A 20,862-nucleotide genomic window follows, 5' to 3' on the forward strand; every position below is an offset into this window, starting at 1 on the left:
ATGAGGGTGAGCAGACACCAGCCTGGGTGTAAATAAGAAGTGTGAGGTTCACACGAGGCTGACGGGGGGCAGCCTTGCTCTCCCCTGTGTTCACAGCCTTGCTTTGGCCACACAGATACTTTCTGAAAGGGGGGTTTGGGGAGAGGCCAGGGAGACTCTCCTGCCCCCATTCTACAGATGGAAAAATGGAACACATTCACCCGACTTCTCAAAGCTGCCAACTGGTCCAGGATGTGCAGTAAGGCCATCTGACAGCCCACCCAGCTCAGATCTCAGCCACTGCTAAGATTCTCTTGGGGTCCAGAACCTTTCTGGGCCTGATTCCCCTGGGTCTACCTGCCACCCCTGGTCCTGGCTCCAACGGCCTGTGCCCTTGGCCGGCACCTTCAGCCCACACACCCACTACTATACCTTGAGCTGAAAGAAATAGTCCTCGACCTGCTCCTCATTCAATTTCAGCTTGGCAGCCACCAGCTGCTTCAGGGTGTGGGCCACGTCCCGGGCCATGCGCACATCCCCGCAAACATAGAGGTGGCCTGGCTCCTTGTGGAGCACACGGAGCACCTCGCTGGCCAGCTGCTGCCGCAGGATGTCCTGAACATAGACCTGAAACCAGAGGAAACAGTGGGTTCAGTCCTCAGCTGCTCAGGACAAGGCTTGCAGGCAGGCCTGCTGGCCTCAAGGAGGCGGGGAGAGGGGCACTAAGGGGTGAGGAGTGAGTCCCCTTCCAGCCAGGACCTTGCAAGGGGCCAGGCTCAGGATGAGGTGCATGGATGCCCCTGGGGCTCGGCTGGGATTAGAGAGATAAATGCTGGACACAGTCCTGCCCTCGAGGGGCTGACCATCCAGTGGGGATCCCAGACTGTCTCTGAATTTGCCATGCTTCAAAAAGGCATCAATGAAGGCAGTCCCCCTGCCCAGGGCTCTGCCTACACCCCAGAAAAGGGAGCCTCTCAATGCAGTCTACCCATTAGGTCTCTGCAGGGTATGGATCCCGGGCTCCCCAGATACAAGGTCCAGGAGTCAGTCAGGGACTCTCTGCTCCTGCTCCACACAGGATGCCCAGTGGCCCCAGCACTGGGCACAGAGCACTGGGCCCAAGAGGTGCCCTGATGGGACAAATGTGTGAAGGCCGAGAGTCTATTCTGACACCCCAGGCTCAGGGGGTAACGCGGCCCTGGGGACAGAAGAGCCCCTCTGATGGCCGTGGTGGAAGCATCGGCCGCCCTCCAGCCTTGCAAGGCTTGAGCGTAGCCAGCCTGGACCACCTCTCCCCGGGCAGTCGCGTGTCCCAGGGGGCCTGCTGGGGACCTTCAGCAGGCTGGGCTCTGGGGTTAACCCGCGTGTGACCTAGGTTAGTCCTGAACCTCTCCAGGTCTGTCGCTTCTGCTGTATGAGAGGGTGTAATGCTCTTCACAGCATCACTCTGATGGTTGTGAATTACCAGCATTTTCGAGCTCAGGAGGTGAAGGCTCGGGGAGGCGAGGGGCCTGTGGGGACCCAGGGCTCACAGTGGAGCTTGTGTGTGTAATGCTTCACCTGCTTTGAGGCTGCATTTACCTTGGGCTTGCCAGGCAGGCGGGAATAGGCTGTGTGCACCGCATGCAGCACCCCCTTCTGGGCCATCTCCAGCATCTCCTCCTGGTAGATGTGGTCCTCATCTGGGCGGCGGCACCCAAACACCAAGGTCATGCGGCCTCCCCGCACTCCTGCAGGAGTCCCGGGCTGTTGTTACCATGTTGGCCACCAGAGGGCGCCAGGGCTCCAAGCCCAACTGGAATTCTCACTTCACTCCCACTAGCTATTTAATAGCATTATCCCCACTTTACAGATGAGGAAACTGAGGCCCAGCGCATTCAGATCACTCATCCATAGTCACAGAACTGAAAGTGCGGATGCAGAATTCCCTCAGCCAATCGGAGATCAAAAGCAGGGACTTTCCTGTTACCTCCACTCCCAGGAGAGGGAGCCCTGGCTACTATGCGGGAGACGGAAAGGCAGCCATTCTAACCCGCAGAGGCCCGCACAGGGAAGCAAACTTGGGAGGCCTTCCCTCGAGAGAGGTCAGGAACCGTTTGTGGGGCTGCAGTTCTGCTCCTAGGCAGGCGCTGGCCCCCTGGTGCCCCTCCCACCTGGGAAGCCTCCAGCCTTACCCTTGTGCTGGGAGTCATGGAGCCGTTGCTGCCAGAAACTGCGGAAGGGCGCGATGCCTGTGCCAGGCCCGATGAGGATGCAAGGATGGGAGGGATCCTCGGGGAGGTGGAAGCCGCTGGCACTGAAGAGGACAGGAGAAGAGGGGGCCAGTCCTCAGACACCCCAGGCCCACGCACACACAGGATGGCTGGGGAGCTGGGCCTGTGGGAGGCGGTCGTGAGGGGGTGGAGAGGACAAGAAGCTCCTATTTGATTTCCCACGTCCTGCAGGCTGCTTCACTTCTGTCCAGGCACCAGCACCTCCCCCAGGTCCTTCTGTAAAAGGGCCAAGCTCACTGGACTCTTGAGACCCACCTGTCATCGCTGTCCCTGCTACAGGCAGCCACACCAGTGTGACCCCAGTGCCTTCTTTATGGGCCAAGGGGCTCCGAGCGTCTCCTAAACCCCAGATCCCTCCCTTTCCTCCCGGAACTCCCAGGGGTCGGCGGCCCCACAGGGGACAGAGTGGAAGGGGTGCTTACTTCCGCACAAAGCAGGGCACTGGGTCTTGGGGCTTCAGGCTGTTGAGCCATGTGCTGCAGACGCCGTGGTGCAGGGGACCCTGGCCATCTGCAACGATACCACAAAGTGACCAACGTCCCCCCACTGCCCATGCGCAAACTGTACCAGCTGCTCCGCCCACACCACGGCCCTCCTTGGACGCCCCCACTCAGGCACTCTCAGGACTCAATGAGCAGCTGTTTGTCCTCCTGGTTCTGAGATCCACCCTCTGTAAGCGCGGAGCTGAGGAACGTTGAAAGGGACTTAGAGAGGCTGCAAGTTGCTCCTTCTGCCCAAGCAGAAACTGAGACGGGGAGAGGAAAAGTGACTTGAAAAAGGTCACTCAGGTCGTGGTGGAATCAGGTGGACAGCTCAGCTTCCCTGACTCCTACTCCAGTGCTCCTTCCAAAGACTTTCTCCGGGAACACTCCCAGCTCACCACTGAGCTCCACTGACAGCAGCATGAAGTGGCCCCTCAGGGTGGCTACTGCTGTGCGTGCTCATGAGCGTGGCCCTTGCTGGTAGCAACCCTGGGTGGTGGATGAGTTCCGCGCATTTCAGCCTGCTCTGGCACCTTGCTTTCCTCCTCAGTGGGCCCTCCTGGGCTTGTAGAAACCCAGGAGGTCTCTCTGGGTTGTGTTCCCTTTACAATGGCCCAGCACTTGAGGAAGGCCTCCAACCAACTGCAGAGGTCCCCCTGGTTTTCCTCGGGATTAAACTTTGATCTCACAGGACACGTCTGCCTCTCCTCTCCTGGTCTGGGTGGCTGTTCTCTAGCAGGGCAAATAGAGTCTCTGCCAAGGTTTTAGAAACTGTGTTTTTGCTTCTTGAGGACAGAGGGCTCGGAAGTGTGGGCAGCTCCCAGCTTTGCCAACCCAGGCAATGCTCAGTTACAGAGGGCAGGGCAGGGGGCAGCGGCCAGTGGTGGAGCCGAGACCACCTGGACGAGATGTTGGCCTCCCGCTCTATGGCAGCGTCACCCCCTGCTCTGCTTCCCTCAGTGACCCTGACCTTTCCTTCTTGGCTTCAGCACAATGAAAATCATCTAATTATTTCTATGCCTATCTCTCCACTGCCGCCTCTAGATGCTCCCTGAGGGCAGGGCTGATCTCTGTTGTATTTCCATACCCACCCCAGTGCCAGGCACCCACTGAATAGCTGAGTGAGTGAATGAATAATCAATGCAGAATCTCCCCTGCGTTCAGGCTGCATGATTGGGAAGACTAAGAACCACTGGCCTCCTACCAAGGGTTGAGTGCTCTTCACATCTGATCTCATTAAATTGTCCCAAGAGTAGTGGGACAGTGGAGTGGTGGAGGACTTGGACTCAGCAGTTAGACTATCCAGGTCTGAATCTCAGCTCTCCACTTACTAACAGTGTGACTTTCTGTGCCACCTGTAAAATGCACACAGTGCCTACCCCACAATGTAACTGATCATATACATACAGAAGGCTTGGTTTAGTGCCTGGTTCCTAGAGATCTCTCCCACACACCTCCTAATACTGTTAACAACTCTGGGCTGTGGGTGTTCCCTCCCTCCTTGAACTGATGAGGGAGCTGAATCTGAGTTGATGAACAGATGTCCAATAATGGGCGGAGCGGGGCTGTTCCAGAGCCTCTGCCCCTGGCTCACCTCGGGTGTGGTAGGTGACCACGGCCACAGTCAGGTGGATCTCTGTGGGCGTGTGATCCCGGGAGGAGCTGATGGAGTAGAACCTGGGCTTCAGAATGGGGAGCTGGGAAAGCAGGAAGCCAGCAGACACCCGCAGGGACGGGAACTCCTCTAGCACCTCCAGGAATGTGGGGCTGTTGGTGAACTTCCACTTGCTGTACTCTGAGGGCTAAAAGCCAAGGGTGATGTCAGTGACTCAGGGCGCCTGTCCCGCTTTGGGGAAAAGACTGTCACAACCCAGTATTCATTCATTCATTCACTCACTCAACAAACAAGTCCATGTGCCAGGCACTGTCCATGGTGCTGAGACGACCAAACTTGAGACAAAATAAGTGCCTGTCCTGGAGGAACTCAGTCCAGTACATTTATCTAACTTGTGTTACCTCCACTGTCGGCAACTCATGGGCAGGGGTCAAATCTTTATTGTAATTTATTTGGGGCAAGGCTTTGGAACCAATCAGACCTGGGTTCAAATCTTGGCTGGGTGTCCTCACTAGCTGTGGAATCTTGTCCCAATTACCCTTTGTGAAACAAGGACAGTATTGCCTGTCTTGTGGGGATGTTATGGGAATTAAATGAGAAAGCATGTGCCAAGTTAGTACATTGCAGCCACAAAATAATGGCGGTGGAGGTAGCTTAAATTGAGATAATTAGCTATAATGATGATGATAATAATGACAACCAGTGCCTTTTGCAAAGACTTGGAACCAGACAGTTGCAGGTGAGTTAACGCATTCTCTCATTAACTTATTAATTCAGCTCTCCATCTGTCACTCTGCCCATTATGCCCATTTATCCATTCATCCACATCATCCATCCCCCAATACATCTTAAGTGACAAGTTTATTCCAGTTTTGGGGAAAGCAAAGACGGATAAGGGCGGCTCCCCTTTCTAGCTAATGTTCAAGGCAGTGCACTCTGGTTGCATCCTGCAGACACTTGGAAAAATTCAGTTCACTCAACACAACTGTGTCCTAGACATGGGCCAGCGGACGATGCCTGGCTTCCCACCAGCCTTTGACAAGTCTCACTTTGGGAACCTGGTGTGGATCCCTCTTGAAAGTTAAAACCAGCTCTGGACTCTGGCTCCCCACATGCTGGGACCCCCCACATACCCCCACTGCCCACCAGCCCTGATCTTCACCTGGCACAGGGCCTCCAGCCTCTGTCTCTCAGGCTCTTCTGTGGCCACCTGGGCCAGCTTTTGGAGCAGCAGCTGGGTTGGGGGTGTGGTGATGTCCAGGAAGTAGGTGAGGGCCTGGCTGAGTGAGCAGGGGGGCAGCCTCTTGTCACTGACCCAGTAGCTGCCTGGATGGGGAAGGAAGGTGTCAGGATGGAAAAGAGGCCCCATTCAGGATTCTCAGCAGGTAGCGAGGCCCCCAGGCAGACACCCTCTATTCTCCAGCTGCAGGGGAAAGGAGGCTCTAAAGACCTGGCTCTAAGAGCAAAAGGCAGGAAGAAGGTGGCGCATGGAGAAAGGACTGCCAGGGAAGGCTGATCACCAGCCCCCAAAGGGGCAGTAAGTTGGCGTGGTCCTGATAAACTAACCACGTCCTTCTCTGGCCCAGACCTGAACTTTAGCAAGACACTCACTGGTGATCTACAGACTCACAATGACTAAATCCACCAAAGACTAATGGATACCTCACAGGCCAGTTGTTCACTTAGAGAGAAGCCCATGACTGCAGTCCCCTGGGTGCTGTACCAAGATGTGCTGGGTGAGCAGATGAGCCCAAAGGGAAGTCCCAGGGAGCAGCATGCAGGGCAGTCACAGCACAGACCCTGGTGCCAGAAGACACGGGTTCAAACCCTGGCTCCCCACTTCTGAGGTGACTGAAGCCTCTGGGCCTTGGCTTCCCTCCCTGTGAAACAGATCTGATAGCACAACCTATCTTGCTGGGTTGGCATGAGCACTGAATGAAATTGTGCCATAATAGTTGGTGCCGTGCCTGGTACACAGATGCTTTGTAAACACTGGGTAAAAATAAGAGCCTGACATTCTCTCCTCTGGAACAGAGTCCTGATGAACCACATCCTTCACCCTACAGTCACAAGGGCAACTGTCTTGTCGTCCCCACGTCTCAGGTTCTCTCACTTTCTCCTGGACAGTGGGGGTCACTGCCAGGCTCTGTTTCTCTGATCCCACTTTCTTTTTTATTTTTTTGAGATGGAGTCTCTGTCACCCAGGCTGGAGTGTAGTGGCGAGATCTCATATCACTGCAACCTCCACCTCCTGGCTTCAAGCGATTCTTGTGCCTCAGCCTCCCGAGTGGCTGGGATTGGGATAACAGGCATGTACCACCATTCCTGTCTAATTATTTTTGTATTTTTAGTAGAGACGGGGTTTTGCCATGTTGGCCAGGATTGTCTCAGACTCCTGACCTCAAGTGATCCACCCACCACGGCCTCCCAAAGTGCTGAGATTACAGGCGTGAGCCACCACACCCAGCTCATCCCACTTTCTGACTTTGGCCACTGCATTGAGGGGGATGTTATCATTAGGGAAACTAAGGCCAGGGGGCCATGCCTTATGGGCTGGGACTGTTTCCACAGCTGCTTTCACATAAGCTTTGGTGGCCCGCCCTCTCAGCAGGAAGGACAGGGATGGCTGTCACCGGCAGGCCCAGGCTCAGCCCCTCAGCCAGGTGGGGCGGCCAGAGGGTGCCAGGCAGCACTGGCTTTCTAGCCCGGGGCTCACCACTCTCATCCAGGGCCTCCAGGCGCACTGTCTGGTGGGGTGTGGGGCCATCCACCACTCGCTCCAGGATACCTTGGACCAGGGCCGGCTGGTTGCCTGGGCAAACCCCAAGGTGCTCCCCCGGCAGGTAGTTCAGGCCTTGGCCATCCTCACAGGAGAGTTCCACCAGGATGGTGGCACGGCTGGGGAAGGAAAATGAAGCCTCAGGTGACATTGCAGGATTTCCTCCAGGGCTCCTTGATGGGCAGGCGAGATTCCCCAGGAAATGTGCCCTCCTTTCATTTTCCTGGCTGGTTCCACAAGCTAGGCCACCACCCTGAGCTTGGGATGAGGCATCCCCACAGGCAGGGGTGCTTAAGAGGGCCCCAGGAGCTTCCCTCTGGGGAGGAGGGGGGCCCACCCCTTCCCAGCAGCCCTTGGAGCCCCCCGAGGGCTTGGCTACAGCCTCTGCCTAAAGAAAGCATCCGCCTTGGACATACATGGATATCAGAAGAAACCTTTCCTTGTTGCCAGGACAAACCCTGTTCTTATTAGAACCAAGGCCAGTTTTCCTAATGCATGCGGGGAGGACAGCACAGATCAATGAAACCTGCAGATAATCCACAAGGCTCTTTCCCAGAGCTGGGAAATTTCCTTCCCTGCCAACACTTTTCCTGAAAGTTCTTAAGAATGAATCAAACAGTTTAAGTCTCTCTTGCACTCTCCTTTTAGTGAAAGAGTTCAATGAGGAAGGAGAGGAAGTGGAGCAGATGCTTAGAGTCCAAGCTGGAAAAGTGGCTCGTGGTTAACCAAGAGTAGACGTAAAAGCACAGGTGGCCGCAGGTTACCAGGTGGGCCGGTCCTACCGACAGTGTGGCTGCTAATGCCAGCATATGCTCTTCTCCTCTCCCTTCAAAGACTGACTTCTTCTGATCTTTCATTCGTTAAAATAAAATCGACAGAGTATCACCCACGAAGCCCTGCACTTTCCCTTACCTGGATGTCGGACTTTGTAGATTCTGCCGAGATTTGAGCCTCATGGTGAACACGTTCTTGGCATGCATGCTGCTGAGGGCTGTGGAGGACACAGAGACGGTGAAATGGCAAAGTGGTTCTTGAGCGTAGGTAGGGGAAGCCCCCAGATGTCTGAGTCAGTGACATCTGAACACCACCCTTGGGGCATCCTGCTGAGGTGGCCGTTGGGTTTTTCTTTTTCTTCCTTTTATTCCACAAATAAAGATCCTTGGTCCAGGCCGGGCATGGTGGCTCATGCCTGTAATCCCAGCACTTTTGGAGGCCGCGGTGGGTGGATTACTGGAGGTCAAGAGTTTGAGACCAGACTGGCCAACATACTGAAACCAGGCATGGTGGTAGTGCCAATAGTCCCAGCTACACGAGAATCACTTGAAGCCAGGAGACGGAGGTTGCAGTAAGCGGGAATCGCGCCACTGCACTCCAGCCTGGACGACAGACCGAGACTCCGTCTCAAAAAAAAAAAAAAAAAAAAAAAAGCTCCTTGATCTGATACAGGGCAGCTTCTAAGTGTTGCTTCTAGGTGTTGGGAAATTCAATTTAGGAACCTAAAAATGGAAAGTCCCGGGACATCTCCATGGCTTGGGATCCACAGGAGAGCATTGTTGACATTGGGGATATCTTAAATATGCAGAAACCTTCAGGACTATCTTAGACAGGGCACAGGGCACAGCACCTGGGGGTGCAGAGTGGAGAGTTCACCACTACAGCCTGGAATCGCCTCTGTGACACCTTCTCTACGACACTTGGCTGCCTTCGCAGCTGGAAGGCTGGGGCTCAGACCCCAACATGGCCACAGGCTAGCAGCTTGCTTCACCTCCTTGAACTGCAATTTCTCCATCTGTGCCTTTCTCCCAGGAGGAGTGTCCAGGCTCACTTAGCCCATGTGGGCCAGGAGCCCCGCACAGTGTCTGACACACAGTAGGCCCTTGGCGGATGCTGATCCCTTCTGTCTCCACCACCCTCCTGGGGCTCCCTCCTGAAACAGCCTCCCTCAGCACCTTGAGTATTATGCCCTAACAGGCTCTTGCATGCAGTGAGAGGGAGGCCCCGAGGCCAGCTGTCTCTGTTCAGAAAGACCTGGGGGTCTCCTTGACCATGGGCTTAGGGCTCAGACCCCAACACAAACAAGCCCCATGTGCTGCAGAGAAGCAGGTACCTTTGCTGAGGTCCAAAGGCTGTGAGTCCTGCACGAGCCTGTAGTGGTGCGGGTCCCAGGTCACATTGGAGGTGTAGAGCTTGGGGATCTGAATGTGCTGTTTGCCTCGGACATCAAACGTCTCACAGGCTGCCTGGAAGAAGGTGGAGCAGACTGCGGTTAATGGTCAGCAGCAGCAGCATCCCCACCACTGGGGCTACCACTTTTTAGGCCCTTACCATGGGCCAAACACTGAGCCGTGTGTTTCGTGTAACTTCGAAGCACACTTACCTGATAGGGTGACAGCAAGGACTCAAAGAGGTGTCTGGGCTTGGCACATAGTAGCTATTGCTACTATTATAAATATTGCTTTGTTTTTGTTTTGAGACAGGGTCTCACTCAGTCGCCCAGGCTGGAGTACAGTGGTGCCATCATAGCTCACTGAAGCCCCAACCACCTGGGCTCAAGCAATCCTCCCGCCTCAGTCCCGTACCTGTAGCTGAGACTACAGGTACGCACAACCAAGCCCAGCCAATTTTCTGTATTTTCGGTAGAGGCAGGTTTCACATGTTACTCAGGCTAGTTTCAAGCTCCTGGGCTCAAGCAATCTGCCCACCTCAGCCTCCTAAAGTGCTTGGATTGCAGGCATGCTCCACTGTGCCCGACCACTATGAATGCCAATATTGACATGATCTTGTTGTATCCTCATGCCCACACTGGAAGAGGTCTGATTGCTCTTATGTTCCTGGTGTGGAGCCACATGGAGGAGGCCTGGGCTTTGGAACCAAGCCTGCCCCGATGCAAGCTGATGCTCCTAAGCACCACCGCTGAGTGACGCTCTGCATGAGTGACGAGTTCCCTAAATGACTGGGGCAATCACAGCAATAAAGAGCTATGGAGATACTGAGTGGATCCAAAGTGGATCCGCCATTGTGTGGTGCCTGTCCCCAGGCTCTCTATGGCTGTGAGACTGAAACAGACACAGTAGTTAAGAGGTGACCTAGGTAGTCACTGGAGGAAAGACCTTAAACTAGAAGCTCCCTAAGGGCAGGGGGGTATCTGTGCCACCTTCTCCCCCAGAGTTGTGTGCACAAGGTGGAGCTCTTCTAGGGGGCTGAGGGAGAGCAGCAGTGACCTAAGCCCTCAGGTTTGTGGCCCTGGCCCATGCCTGGGACCACATCTACAGGACCACAGGCAGAGGTCATGCCACCTGGGACGCCCAGCACAGATGTCCTAGGCATGAATGCACCCTGTCATGTCCCTGCTGTGGGGCAGCTCTGGCTGGGAACTGACCTTGAAGGTTTGCACGGCCCAGCTGCGGAAGGCGTCCTCCTGCCCACTGAGCTCATCCCCTTCTCCCATCGGGGTGAGCTGAGAGGCCCCCAGGTGGGACAGCTTCTGATCAATGTCATGAGCAAAGGCGCAGAACCGAGGGTACATGCTGGAGCCGAGGCCAAACACAGCGTACCTGCCCGAGGACACACACAGAGACACATGTCCCATGCAAGCAGCACCTGGCACCCAGCACCCAGCACCAACAGCCTGGAGAGCCAGCCCCAGACTCTCCCCCTCCAGCTGGAGAATGGAGCTGGACCCCCTTCTGGTCCTCTCCATCCCCCAGCCTTGTCACCAACTCCCATGACCACCCCATGCTTGGCCTGCAGACCTGTGAGAGGGACTTGGTTTCTGTGGTTTGACCCTCGACACATTCTGAGTACAGACCTTAGACCCAGGTCTCTGTGCCTGCACGGTTCTGAGAAGACCCCCTGTGCACACCCAGTTCCATCCCCTGAACCCAGACTTTGGGTCCACAGGGCAGGGCTAGGAGTAGGACAACGGAAAAAGCTTTACCTGAATTTGTTGTTGAGCTCTTTCAGCATGAAGAGCGATTTCTTCAGTTTCTAGAAAGAGAGGGAATGACAGAGTTCTCAAGCCAGGATGAATAAAAACACTGTTTTTTCCTTTCTTCTGGAAACCTGGCCACAGCTTGCAGGAGAAGGCTCACAGCCCACCACGGAAGTTGGTTTACATATGGGGCTACCTGGCCAAGGACCTGGTTGTCAGCTGACAAGTTTAGCTTGTCTCTCACTCCAACTAAACTGTAGCAACTTGTGTAGGCCCTGCCTCTTAATGGGGGACCTGGAACAGCTGGGCCCCCACCCATCCAGCCCTGGCAGAGGGGCCTGCCTGGTAGCATGCCTTCTCCAGAGGGGCTCCGAATGCGCCGTGATTCTGTTTGGAACCCGGTAGAAGCAACAACAATTGGTCCTACAGTCTCTGAAATAAGGCTGGCTTTCCAGGAAGCCAAGATGATTCCAGGAGGTATGTGACCCAGCAGAACTAGCGTCAAATCCCATGGTGAGTATTTACTCCCTTTTCATAATTTATTTTTTAGTTATTCCCCTTCAATTACATTTTCATTCTTCGGAGCACTGGAGAGACAGTCTCATATTGGTGCTAATAGACCTTTAATACCTCTCTCATTGCCTATTAGTCTTTTTTAAAAACAAAGATAGCTGAGCACGGTGGCTCACGCCTATAATCCCAGCACTTTGGGAGGCTGAGGCGGGCGGATCACCTGAGGTTGGGAGTTCAAGACCAGCCTGACCAACATGGAGAAACCCCATCTCTACTTAAAAAAAAGAATACAAAATTGGCCAGGCATGGTGGCGCGTGCCTGTAATCGCAGCTACTCGGGAGGCTGAGGCAGAAGAATCACTTGAACCAGGGAGGCAGAGTTTGCAGTGAGCTGAGATCGCACCATTGCACTCTACCCTGGGCAACAAAAGCAAAACTCCACCTAAGTAAATAAATAAATAAATAAACAAACAAACACCAAAAACCAAAAAACAAACAAAACAAACAAAGAGCAGGCCTTGGCCAGGGAATAGTATCTAGCTAAAATTCATTAACTTCATTTTGTTTTCATTGAATTTATGTTTTGCTGCTTTCCATTTGTGAGAGTGATACAAGTTTCCTTTAAATATGAATTTGTAAATACAAACAGGTAGGCCATTCACAGAAATATATTAAATATGTCATAGGAAAGGTGGCACTCCCATATGGCAATAATTACAATGGAGGCCGGCAAATGACCTGAGTGACCCGGAGTGGCCTGAGCACTGACTCCCAAATGTCCTCCGTAGGACCTGCCGCATCCCCCAGACCCTTTCCTGGGTCCTCCCGTGCCCTACCACCCCCTAGACCAGCCAGACCTCAAGCCACCCACCTCTCCATTGCCAGGGCAGTCTCCATTGCCAAACGTACTGGTCACCACCAACAGCAGCCGTTCCTCCTCCAGGCAGCTCAGCCTGTACTTATCCATGCAGACAACCTGGATGGCACCCAAGTGGACATCAGCCCTCGGCTCCCAGTAGGGCCCTCCCTACCCTGCGCAGACACCCTGGGCTTCCTCCCACACTGCCCCCAGGCTGCGGCTCCTGTGCTCATCTGTCTCTCCCAGGGCCCGGCACAGGCGTGGCACAGAGGACGTGAATGAACCAATTTGAACACATCATCCTCTGTTCTCCTTCCCCGCTTAAGCCCTATGGTTAACACATTGGCAAGCCCTGGAAGATCTGTCCCAAAAATACTGCCTTTCCCATGTCTAAATGCCTCTCACCATGTCCACTACTATTTGCAATTTTGTGTGTGTGGAAATATTTCCACAAAATTGGAATGAGCAGGTCACAGCTGTGCCTGGAGGGAATGGCCGGGGAAATGTGCCCTCATCTTGCTGTTCTATCCAGGCCCACCCAGCGGAGGATGGGGGACCTGCCACCACTCTCCTGGCAGTTCCAGACTCCTGGGAGCCAGCAGGTGAGGCTTGGACCCAAGAGGTGTTTTCAGCAACCTGGCCGACCTGGTCATCAGTCAGTGCCCCCTTGGCCTAAGCCTCTACGTGGCACAGACCACAGCTCATCCCATCGTGGCATTACACTGGCCTGTGCCCTGTCCTCAGAGTCACATCCATCTCCCAGAAGCCGTGCGACCCTGGAAAACCCATCAACCTGTCTAACAGTCAGGTTCCTCCTCTGTGCATTAACAATGGCATTGACGCCTGCTTTGCAGGGCGCTGGGAGGGGAGGGTGGGGTGTATGCTGGAGAGCTCCCCAAGGGCAAGGCCTGGCTCTGCGCCACCCACTGTCAGATCCTCAGAGCCCGGGGCTGGTCCAGCACGTGGCCACCATTCCCTAAGAGTTGGATTTTATCCATCAGTGCTGAAGGCAGGGGATAGAGCTTAGACAGACCCTCTGCGGCCTTTTTTTGTTTATCTGAAGCTTACTCATCTCTTCCCCCTTTCACATGCAGCACTGCATCCTGCAGAGCAGGTGTTCAGTGAGCCTGAATAAAGTTCAGCCAGAGCAGCTGATGTATGTTGAGGCCTGGATTCATTGTGAAAGTGTTTCTCAAACTGTGTTCTCCAGAACACCATGAAAAACTCATCTACTGTGTAAGTTTTGGAATCCCTGCACACAAGTCTTTCCTTCTCTTCCAGATTAATGATGCACATTACCACATCCAAGACTCTGAGACATCCAGGAGTGGGGAAACCGTTTTAACTTTTCCTAGACTCCCCTGCACACAAGCAGAAAAAACAACAGCCATCCCACTGAGCCAGTACCTTGGGGTTGAAGGCACAGCTGAATAAGGCCCCCAGGTCCCAGGCCAGCGCCTCTGATTTTCCTGTCTCTGTCGCAAAGAGGATGGTGACTCTGACTCGGGACGCCATTGTCTTGCGCATCAGCATACAGGCAAAGAGCACAGCTCTGTGGGGACAGACAGACAGGCAGGCGCTGTGTGCTGAGTCAGCCTTCCAGAAGAAAATGGGGGACCAGGGGAATGGGAGGGGACAGCGTTTAATGTGGGGCAGGTTGAGGGAAAAGCAAGCTACGTTTCTCACCAGCCATGTACCGTGACAACTCACCCTTTTCCTCCCCTCACCCACTACTATAGGCCCCTTTGGGAAAAGGGAGGAGAGAGAAGGTTGGAACAATGGCAGCAGGGGACCCTTGGAATTGGCGACTGGACCTCTGGGAGCCAAATTCCACGAAGAATATACATTCCCAGGCTGGGTGCCGTGGCTCACATCTGTAATCCCAGCACTTTGGGAGGCTGAGCAGGAAGATCGCTTGAGCCCAGGAGTTCAAGACCAACCTGGGCAACACTGCGAGACCCCGTCTCTACAAAAAAAACAAACAAAATTAGTCAGGCGTGGGTTTGTACCTGTGGTCCCAGCTACTTGGGAGGCTCAGGTGGGAGGATCACTTGAGCTCGGGAAGCAGAGGCTGCAGTGAGCTGTGATGGCACCACTACACCCCAGCCTGGGTGACAGAGTAAGACCCTGTCTCAAAAACAAAAGCAAAAAGCATAACCATTCCTTGTGTTCTTGCCCTTCAAGGACTGGAGGCAGAGGCTGACTAGAAGGGAGAGATATAGTTCACACATCACTACTAGCCACTGCCACTGCCACTCACTTGACCAAGACTTTCAATGGAATCTCTCTTCTCTTGGGTCTCCGCTTCTCGTCCTGCCAGACATGGGTTTTCCAGGCCTCTACCTTCAGAAAAGAAAGGAGATGTGAGGGCAGGGCGGGGTCCTGGCTTGGCTCAGCTCGCGGATGCTGGAGTGGTAGAGGACCCTTCACACCCATCATGAGCCTGGGAGAGAAGGCTGGCCTGCGCCCCACCCCTGTCACTGAACTCCCACAAGGGAGGGCCGTGGCTGCCTCTCCCCCAGAGTTGCCTCTCCACTGCCCGGCATGGAGCCTGCACATCGAGGGGGGGCGGCTAACCCTTATTCTCATTAGTGTCCTCCTGGAAGGAACAGGCTGCACTCCTTTTGCTTTTAGCATCTTATCAGCAGGCAGATGACATAATGTACAGTCCCAACCGAGACACCTTTGAGAGCAAGAAGAGCTGCTACTACAACAGGCAAGACTCCAGGACATGCCGTCACCCTGCATGTGAGGTCCTGTAGATGGAGGAAGCTCTTCCTTTAGATGAAGGAAGCTCTTAAAATCCAACCCAAGTCCTTTTTGGCACAAAATGAACTCTTCTCAATAGCTCATGGTTACTGAATGCATTCTGCATTGGGCACTGGGCTGAGCTGTTCCATACACCAGCTTTGTGATCCACACAACCCCCCGTCGTGGAGTGAAGCCCATCCCTTTTAGAGATGAGAAGATCAGGGCTCAGAAAGGTGAAAGGACCCACCCAAGACCCTATTGCTAGGAAGTGGCAGAATCAATAGCGTCTGACTCAGGGGCCAATCCCCTCAACACTCTGCTGAGTGACTGTTGCCGGGCCCTCCCGTGGAAGCAGGTGTAATGACAGACCCCCCATCTGAGCCACAGGCCACTAGCGGTGCAGTGGAAGCCACTTCCTTCAGTGCCACTCTCCGTGGAAATGCACAAAGGCTGCTCAGCATCCTTGAGTGGGGCCTGGAAAGCTCTAACAACATACTCCTGCTTCCCGTCGTGCCCTACATGTGTAACAATGAGGTGCACACACACACACACACATACAGCCACATCTGAGCCCCCAGGAAGGAGAGAAGAGGAAGGCCCCTAACCTGATAGTAGTAGAAAGGGGACAGGACGTAGTTCAGCATCTCCTGGTGAAACACGGGGGTGATGCTCCCAGACATGGGAGGGACCAGCCAAATCCAGTCTGCCGGGCAGCCCCCACGGGACCGGTATTCATTCTGCATGTACTTCATGAAGGATTCTGCAGCCGAGTGGTGGTCCATGATGGTCACATTCTGCTTCTGTATCAGAAGGCAAGATAGGGAGTGGAGATAAGGGTGGGGGAATCAGGAGAGGGGCCGGTTGGCCGCAGGGCTCCCAGAGAGTGCCTGGGAAGGCCTGGCAATCTGTAACACGGGAGAGCAACTCCTGGCCCTCTCCTTGCCTGCTGAAAATAAACACCCAAATGGAAGGCGCTTGTGGAGCCTCTGACAGAGCCCAAGAAAGCACATTAGTCAGGGTCAGCCCACAGGTCCCATGGGGGCCTCCCTTAAGTCTTTGAGGGCAATATCCAGCCTCTCATGCCCACAGGTCTCCCCAGACTCCCAGCAAATGGCTCTCTCTGGATCTGCATAACTTAAACCACAGCACCTTTTGGCAGGTAAAGGAAATACCATCCCAGCCATTTATGGTGGAGAGTTCTAAGAGTCACTTCCATGGGGTTGTAGCCTCCTCAGCCAAGAAGGAGCCAGACCCCTCCGTGGGGAGGTCTGAAGCATTGGGAGAACTGTAGTGTATGGGAGACGAATCACTCACAGTCTGAAATTACGGGCTGTGGGGTCTGACCCCATGGAATGGTCCAGCAAGGCAGCCACTGGCCTCTATGTCTGTGGCAACCCATTCAGTCAAGAGACATTTGTTTAACACAGTGGTTCAAACTCTGGCTTTTTATTTGCCATGTGACCTTGAGCAATTAGTTCTTTAAGTTTTCTCATCTGTGAAATGGGAGTGATATGAATTCCTATAATGGCCAGGTGCAGTGGCTCATGCCTGTAATCCTAGCACTTTGGGAGGCCGAGGTGGGAGGACTGCTTGAGCCCAGGAGTTTGAAATCAGCCTAGGAAACATGGTGAGACCCTGTCTCTATAAAAATTTAAAAATTAGTAGGCCAGCTGTCGGGGCTTACACCTATAATCCCAGCACTTTGGGAGGGCGAGACGGGGAGATCACCTGAGGTCGGGAGTTTGAGACCAGCCTGACCAACATGGTGAAACCCCGTCTCTACTAAAAAATATAATAATTAGCCAGGCATGGTGGAGGCACACACCTGTAATCCCAGCTACTCAGAAGGCTAAAGAAGGACAATCGCTTGAACCCGGGAGGCGGAGGTTGCAGTGAGCCGAGATCGCACCACTGCACTCCAGCCTGGGTGACAGAGCGAGACTCTGTCTTAAAAAAAACAAAAACAAAAAAATTTAAAAATTAGCCAGGTTTGGTGGCACATGCCAGTGTTCTCAGATATGTGGGAGGCTGATGTGGTAAGAGCATTGCTTGAGCCCAGGAGGTCAAGGCTGCAGTGAGCCATGATTGGGCCACTGCACTCCAGTCTGGGTGACAAAACAAGACCTTGTCTCCAAAAAAAAAGTTCTTACATCATGAGGTTGTTGAAAGGATGCAATAAGCTGGAATAAGCAAAGCATAGTAAGTGCTTAATAAATATTAGCTGCTCTTATAATCTCCATCTGCCAGGCACTGCATAAGGCATCGGCGTTATAGAAGGGAAAGACACAGCCCTTTCTCTGCATTAGAGTCTAGTCTAACTGGGTGGGGAAGCCAAGGAAAATCAGTCATTTTCACACGGCCTGATAGAAACTCTGATGGAGGCAGGCAAAGGTGCTGGGGAAGGGCAGAAGAGAGGATACAACGCCAGACAGAGGCCCAGGGTGAGTTGGCGAATTTCGGGAGCAGCTCCTGAGAGGAAGGGAGACTTGTGAGAGGGGTGCAAGTTAGTTGAGTGGGGCACTGCATGAGTCAAGGCAGGGAGGCATGAGAGGATCCAGCTGGTGTCAGGCCTGGGAAGGCCAGCCATGCCTTGTAAATTCAATAGACATACATAAGTTATATATGTGTATATAAAAGTCCGGCCACCACTCTTGTGGACGTGGGCTCTCATTCACTTATTCTTCCAAGACACAGCAACTCCTGGGAGCCAGATCAGTTCTAAGCTCAGTGGTAGCTACAGGATGGGTGCAGTGGCTCACACCTGTAATCCCAGCACTTTGGGAGGCAGAGACAGGTGGATCACTTGAGGCCAGGAGTTTGAGACCAGCCTGGCCAACATGGTGAAACCCTATCTCTACTAAAATTACAAAAATTAGCCGGGTATGGTGGTGCAATCCTGTAATCCCAGCTACTTGGGAGGCTGAGGCAGGAGAATTGCTTGAACCCAGGAGGCGGAGGTTGCAGTGAGCCGAGATCACACCATGCACTCCAGCCTAGGCAATGGAGGGAGAGTTCATCTCCAAAGGAAAAAAAAAAAAAAAAAAAAAACTCAGTGGTAGCCACGATCATGATGACAACATAATAAACAGTAAGAAAATCATTGCTTACTGAGTGTTGTCTATGGGCCAGGCAGTGCAGCTAAACATTTTGCATGCATTTTTACTTAACTCTTATAATCCTCAGATGAGGGAGGCACTATTATCCCCATTTTACAGAGGAGGAAACAAGGGCCCATCTTTTGAAGTTTACCCTGAAGGAGGGTGGTGAGGAAGTCCTGGAGACGCTCAGGCAGTGGAAGGACACAGTCAGCCACGGTGAGGAGACAGCAGAGGCTCACAGATTTTCTGGGACGTATCCACATCCTGCCAGCATCAGGGCTGGTGCTGGGAGTCCCCAGGAGTCAGGATGTGTGGTGCAAAGCCAGCCCTTCCCCAAACACCGGGGGGCTCTTCCTGTTCCATCTTCCCCTCCCCCGTCAAGCACAGGCCTGATCTGCCTATGGGGTGACCCAGTCATGGGGAACAGTGTGTGCTCATCTGTACTCTGTTCACCACTCACATCCTTGGCCCAGCCTAGTGCCCAGCACCAGGCAAATGCTGAGTAAAACACTGCTGAATGAATGAATGACTGACCAGTGGTGGGGTCTCCAGGGCATCTGTCAGCTTTGTGGCAATGGCTGTGGCTTCTAAAGTAGTATCTTCCTACATCTCAGGCCTCCTTCCCACAGGGAAGGGAAGTGTTTCTATGAGTAAGAGCAGCGGATGGGCCTGAGGGCTTAGCCCTACACAGGAGCCCAGCGGCTGTGTGTGGGCTTAAGAGGAGGTGGAGGTTGTTATCCTCGCACAGCAAGCAAGAGCAGCCACAGCTCACAGGTCCCCTCCCAGCATCACTCATTCATGCACACGTCAGACAAGGACTGAAGACCCAGTTTGTGCCAGGCCAGATCGCGGATGTGGCCCTCATCATTCATTCTTCAAAGACAAATTATTTTAGCATCTACCATGTGCCAGACACTCTTCTAGGCCAGAGGTGCAGCAGCAAACAGACAGACAAGGTCCCTGCCCCATGGAGCTTACATTCTAGTGGGGGAAACCAAACAATAAAGAAAGCTGGCCCGGCACCGTGGCTTATGCCTATAATCCCAGCGCTTTGGGAGGCTGAGGCAAGCGGATCACTTGAGGCCAGGAGTTCGGAACCAACCTGGGCAACATGGAAAAACACCATCTCTACTAAAAATATAAAAATTAGGCAAGCGTGGTATGCACCTGTAGTCCCAGCTACTCGGCAGGCTAAGGTGGGAGGATCACTTGAGCCCAGGAGGTCAAGGCTGCAGTGATCATGCCACTGCATTCCAGCCTGGGTGACCGAGTGAGATGATGTCTCAAAAAAAAAAAAAGGAAAAGAAAGAAGAAAGTCGATGTCCTATATAATGCCAGGAACTGTATGAGGAAGTATTTTGAAGAAAAATAAAATGGTTAAAGGACTAACACAGAGAGACAGGTTGGCAGTGGGGTGAGGGCGTCATTTTACATGGCACGGTCAGGGAGGCCTTCTTTTTTTTTTGAGCGGAGTCTTGCTCTGTCGCCCAGCCAGGCTGAAGCAGTTGGGGGATGAGGAAGCACAATGAGATCTCTCCATAGTTTTGCTGTAGAAAGGAGCAGAAGGGTGAGGCAGTGGCTGGAGGGAGCCTGAGGTTTGGCAGGAGTTATGTGGTTAGCTATTCATTTCTTTCTTTGAAATGGGGCTAAGAGAGCCTGTCTGTACACTGCTGGGAATGACTCAGCAGAGAGAGAGACATTGATGATACAGAGAGAGAAGAGGAAAATTTTTGGGAGTAAAGTCCTTGAGCGATTGAGAGAGGACAGAATTCAGTGCTCAAGTACAGGGATTGAACAGTCTTGGGAGGTGAGGAGCTGCCTGTTGCTGGACCTCTAGAGTGAGCAAGGGGGCTTACTTATAAATTAAGCATCACATAAGTCACTGGATCAGTTAAGCTTCTCACCAAAAAGTCTTCAGACTCACAAAACTCCAGACATACCTGGAAACTATGGAGCACAGCAATGTTGATCTCAACGACAGCCTGGTCTTTCCAGAGCGAGGCCAGCTTGTGCGTTTCCAGGCCCATTCTCCTGCCCACTTCCTACAGAGGCAGAGTGATAGCGGCGAGTCGGTCCCTGAAGCCACCCCCAGGCCCACACCTTCATCTGGCCAGCTGGGCTGGCTGGGTTACCTCCAGGATGTTGTAGCGCTGGACGTCACAGAAGTCCCGGACTCCGATCTCTGTGCCCATGTACCAGCCATTGAAGGGGCACCCTGGGAACTCCAGGCCGCCCACCTCAAGCAGCATGTTGGCCACTGCAGGCAGGGCGTACCACTTTAGCTCCAGTTCCCGAAACCACTCGTATCTGGCAAAAAGGTAGACACAATTTAACTGGGGCCTTCCTTATTTTTATTTTATTATTATTTTTTTTTTAGTGACTTGGTCTTGCTCTGTTGCTCATGCTGGAGTGCAGTGCAGTGGCACAATCATAACTCACTGCAGCCTTTAACTCCTGGGCCCAAGCGATCCTCCTGCCTCAGCCTCCCAAGTAGCTAGGACTGCAGGCATGTGCCATCTTGCTCAGCTAATTTTTTTCCTTATTATTATTATTATTATTATTATTATTATTATTATTATTTT

At 53.3% G+C, this 20,862-nt stretch overlaps 1 protein-coding gene across 1 annotated transcript in view; it reads right to left on the minus strand.

The window, feature by feature from the left end:
• NOS2 (nitric oxide synthase 2) overlaps positions 1-20,862 on the minus strand; it is a 43,764-nt gene that overhangs the window by 1,704 nt on the left and 21,198 nt on the right. The window contains exons 10-26 of the mRNA NM_000625.4: positions 20,413-20,587; positions 20,221-20,322; positions 15,788-15,982; positions 14,692-14,774; positions 13,839-13,983; positions 12,444-12,548; positions 11,066-11,115; positions 10,508-10,682; positions 9,236-9,368; positions 8,041-8,119; positions 7,066-7,247; positions 5,512-5,675; positions 4,329-4,536; positions 2,675-2,762; positions 2,154-2,275; positions 1,561-1,709; positions 412-606 (exon numbers count right to left, since the gene is read on the minus strand). Of these exons, the coding sequence (NP_000616.3) occupies positions 412-606; positions 1,561-1,709; positions 2,154-2,275; positions 2,675-2,762; positions 4,329-4,536; positions 5,512-5,675; positions 7,066-7,247; positions 8,041-8,119; positions 9,236-9,368; positions 10,508-10,682; positions 11,066-11,115; positions 12,444-12,548; positions 13,839-13,983; positions 14,692-14,774; positions 15,788-15,982; positions 20,221-20,322; positions 20,413-20,587 (2,350 nt within the window). The remainder of the gene's footprint in view (positions 1-411; positions 607-1,560; positions 1,710-2,153; positions 2,276-2,674; positions 2,763-4,328; positions 4,537-5,511; positions 5,676-7,065; positions 7,248-8,040; positions 8,120-9,235; positions 9,369-10,507; positions 10,683-11,065; positions 11,116-12,443; positions 12,549-13,838; positions 13,984-14,691; positions 14,775-15,787; positions 15,983-20,220; positions 20,323-20,412; positions 20,588-20,862) is intronic.

Source organism: Homo sapiens, chromosome 17, assembly GCF_000001405.40.
Source record: "Homo sapiens chromosome 17, GRCh38.p14 Primary Assembly".
Classification (NCBI taxonomy): Eukaryota; Metazoa; Chordata; class Mammalia; order Primates; family Hominidae; genus Homo; species Homo sapiens.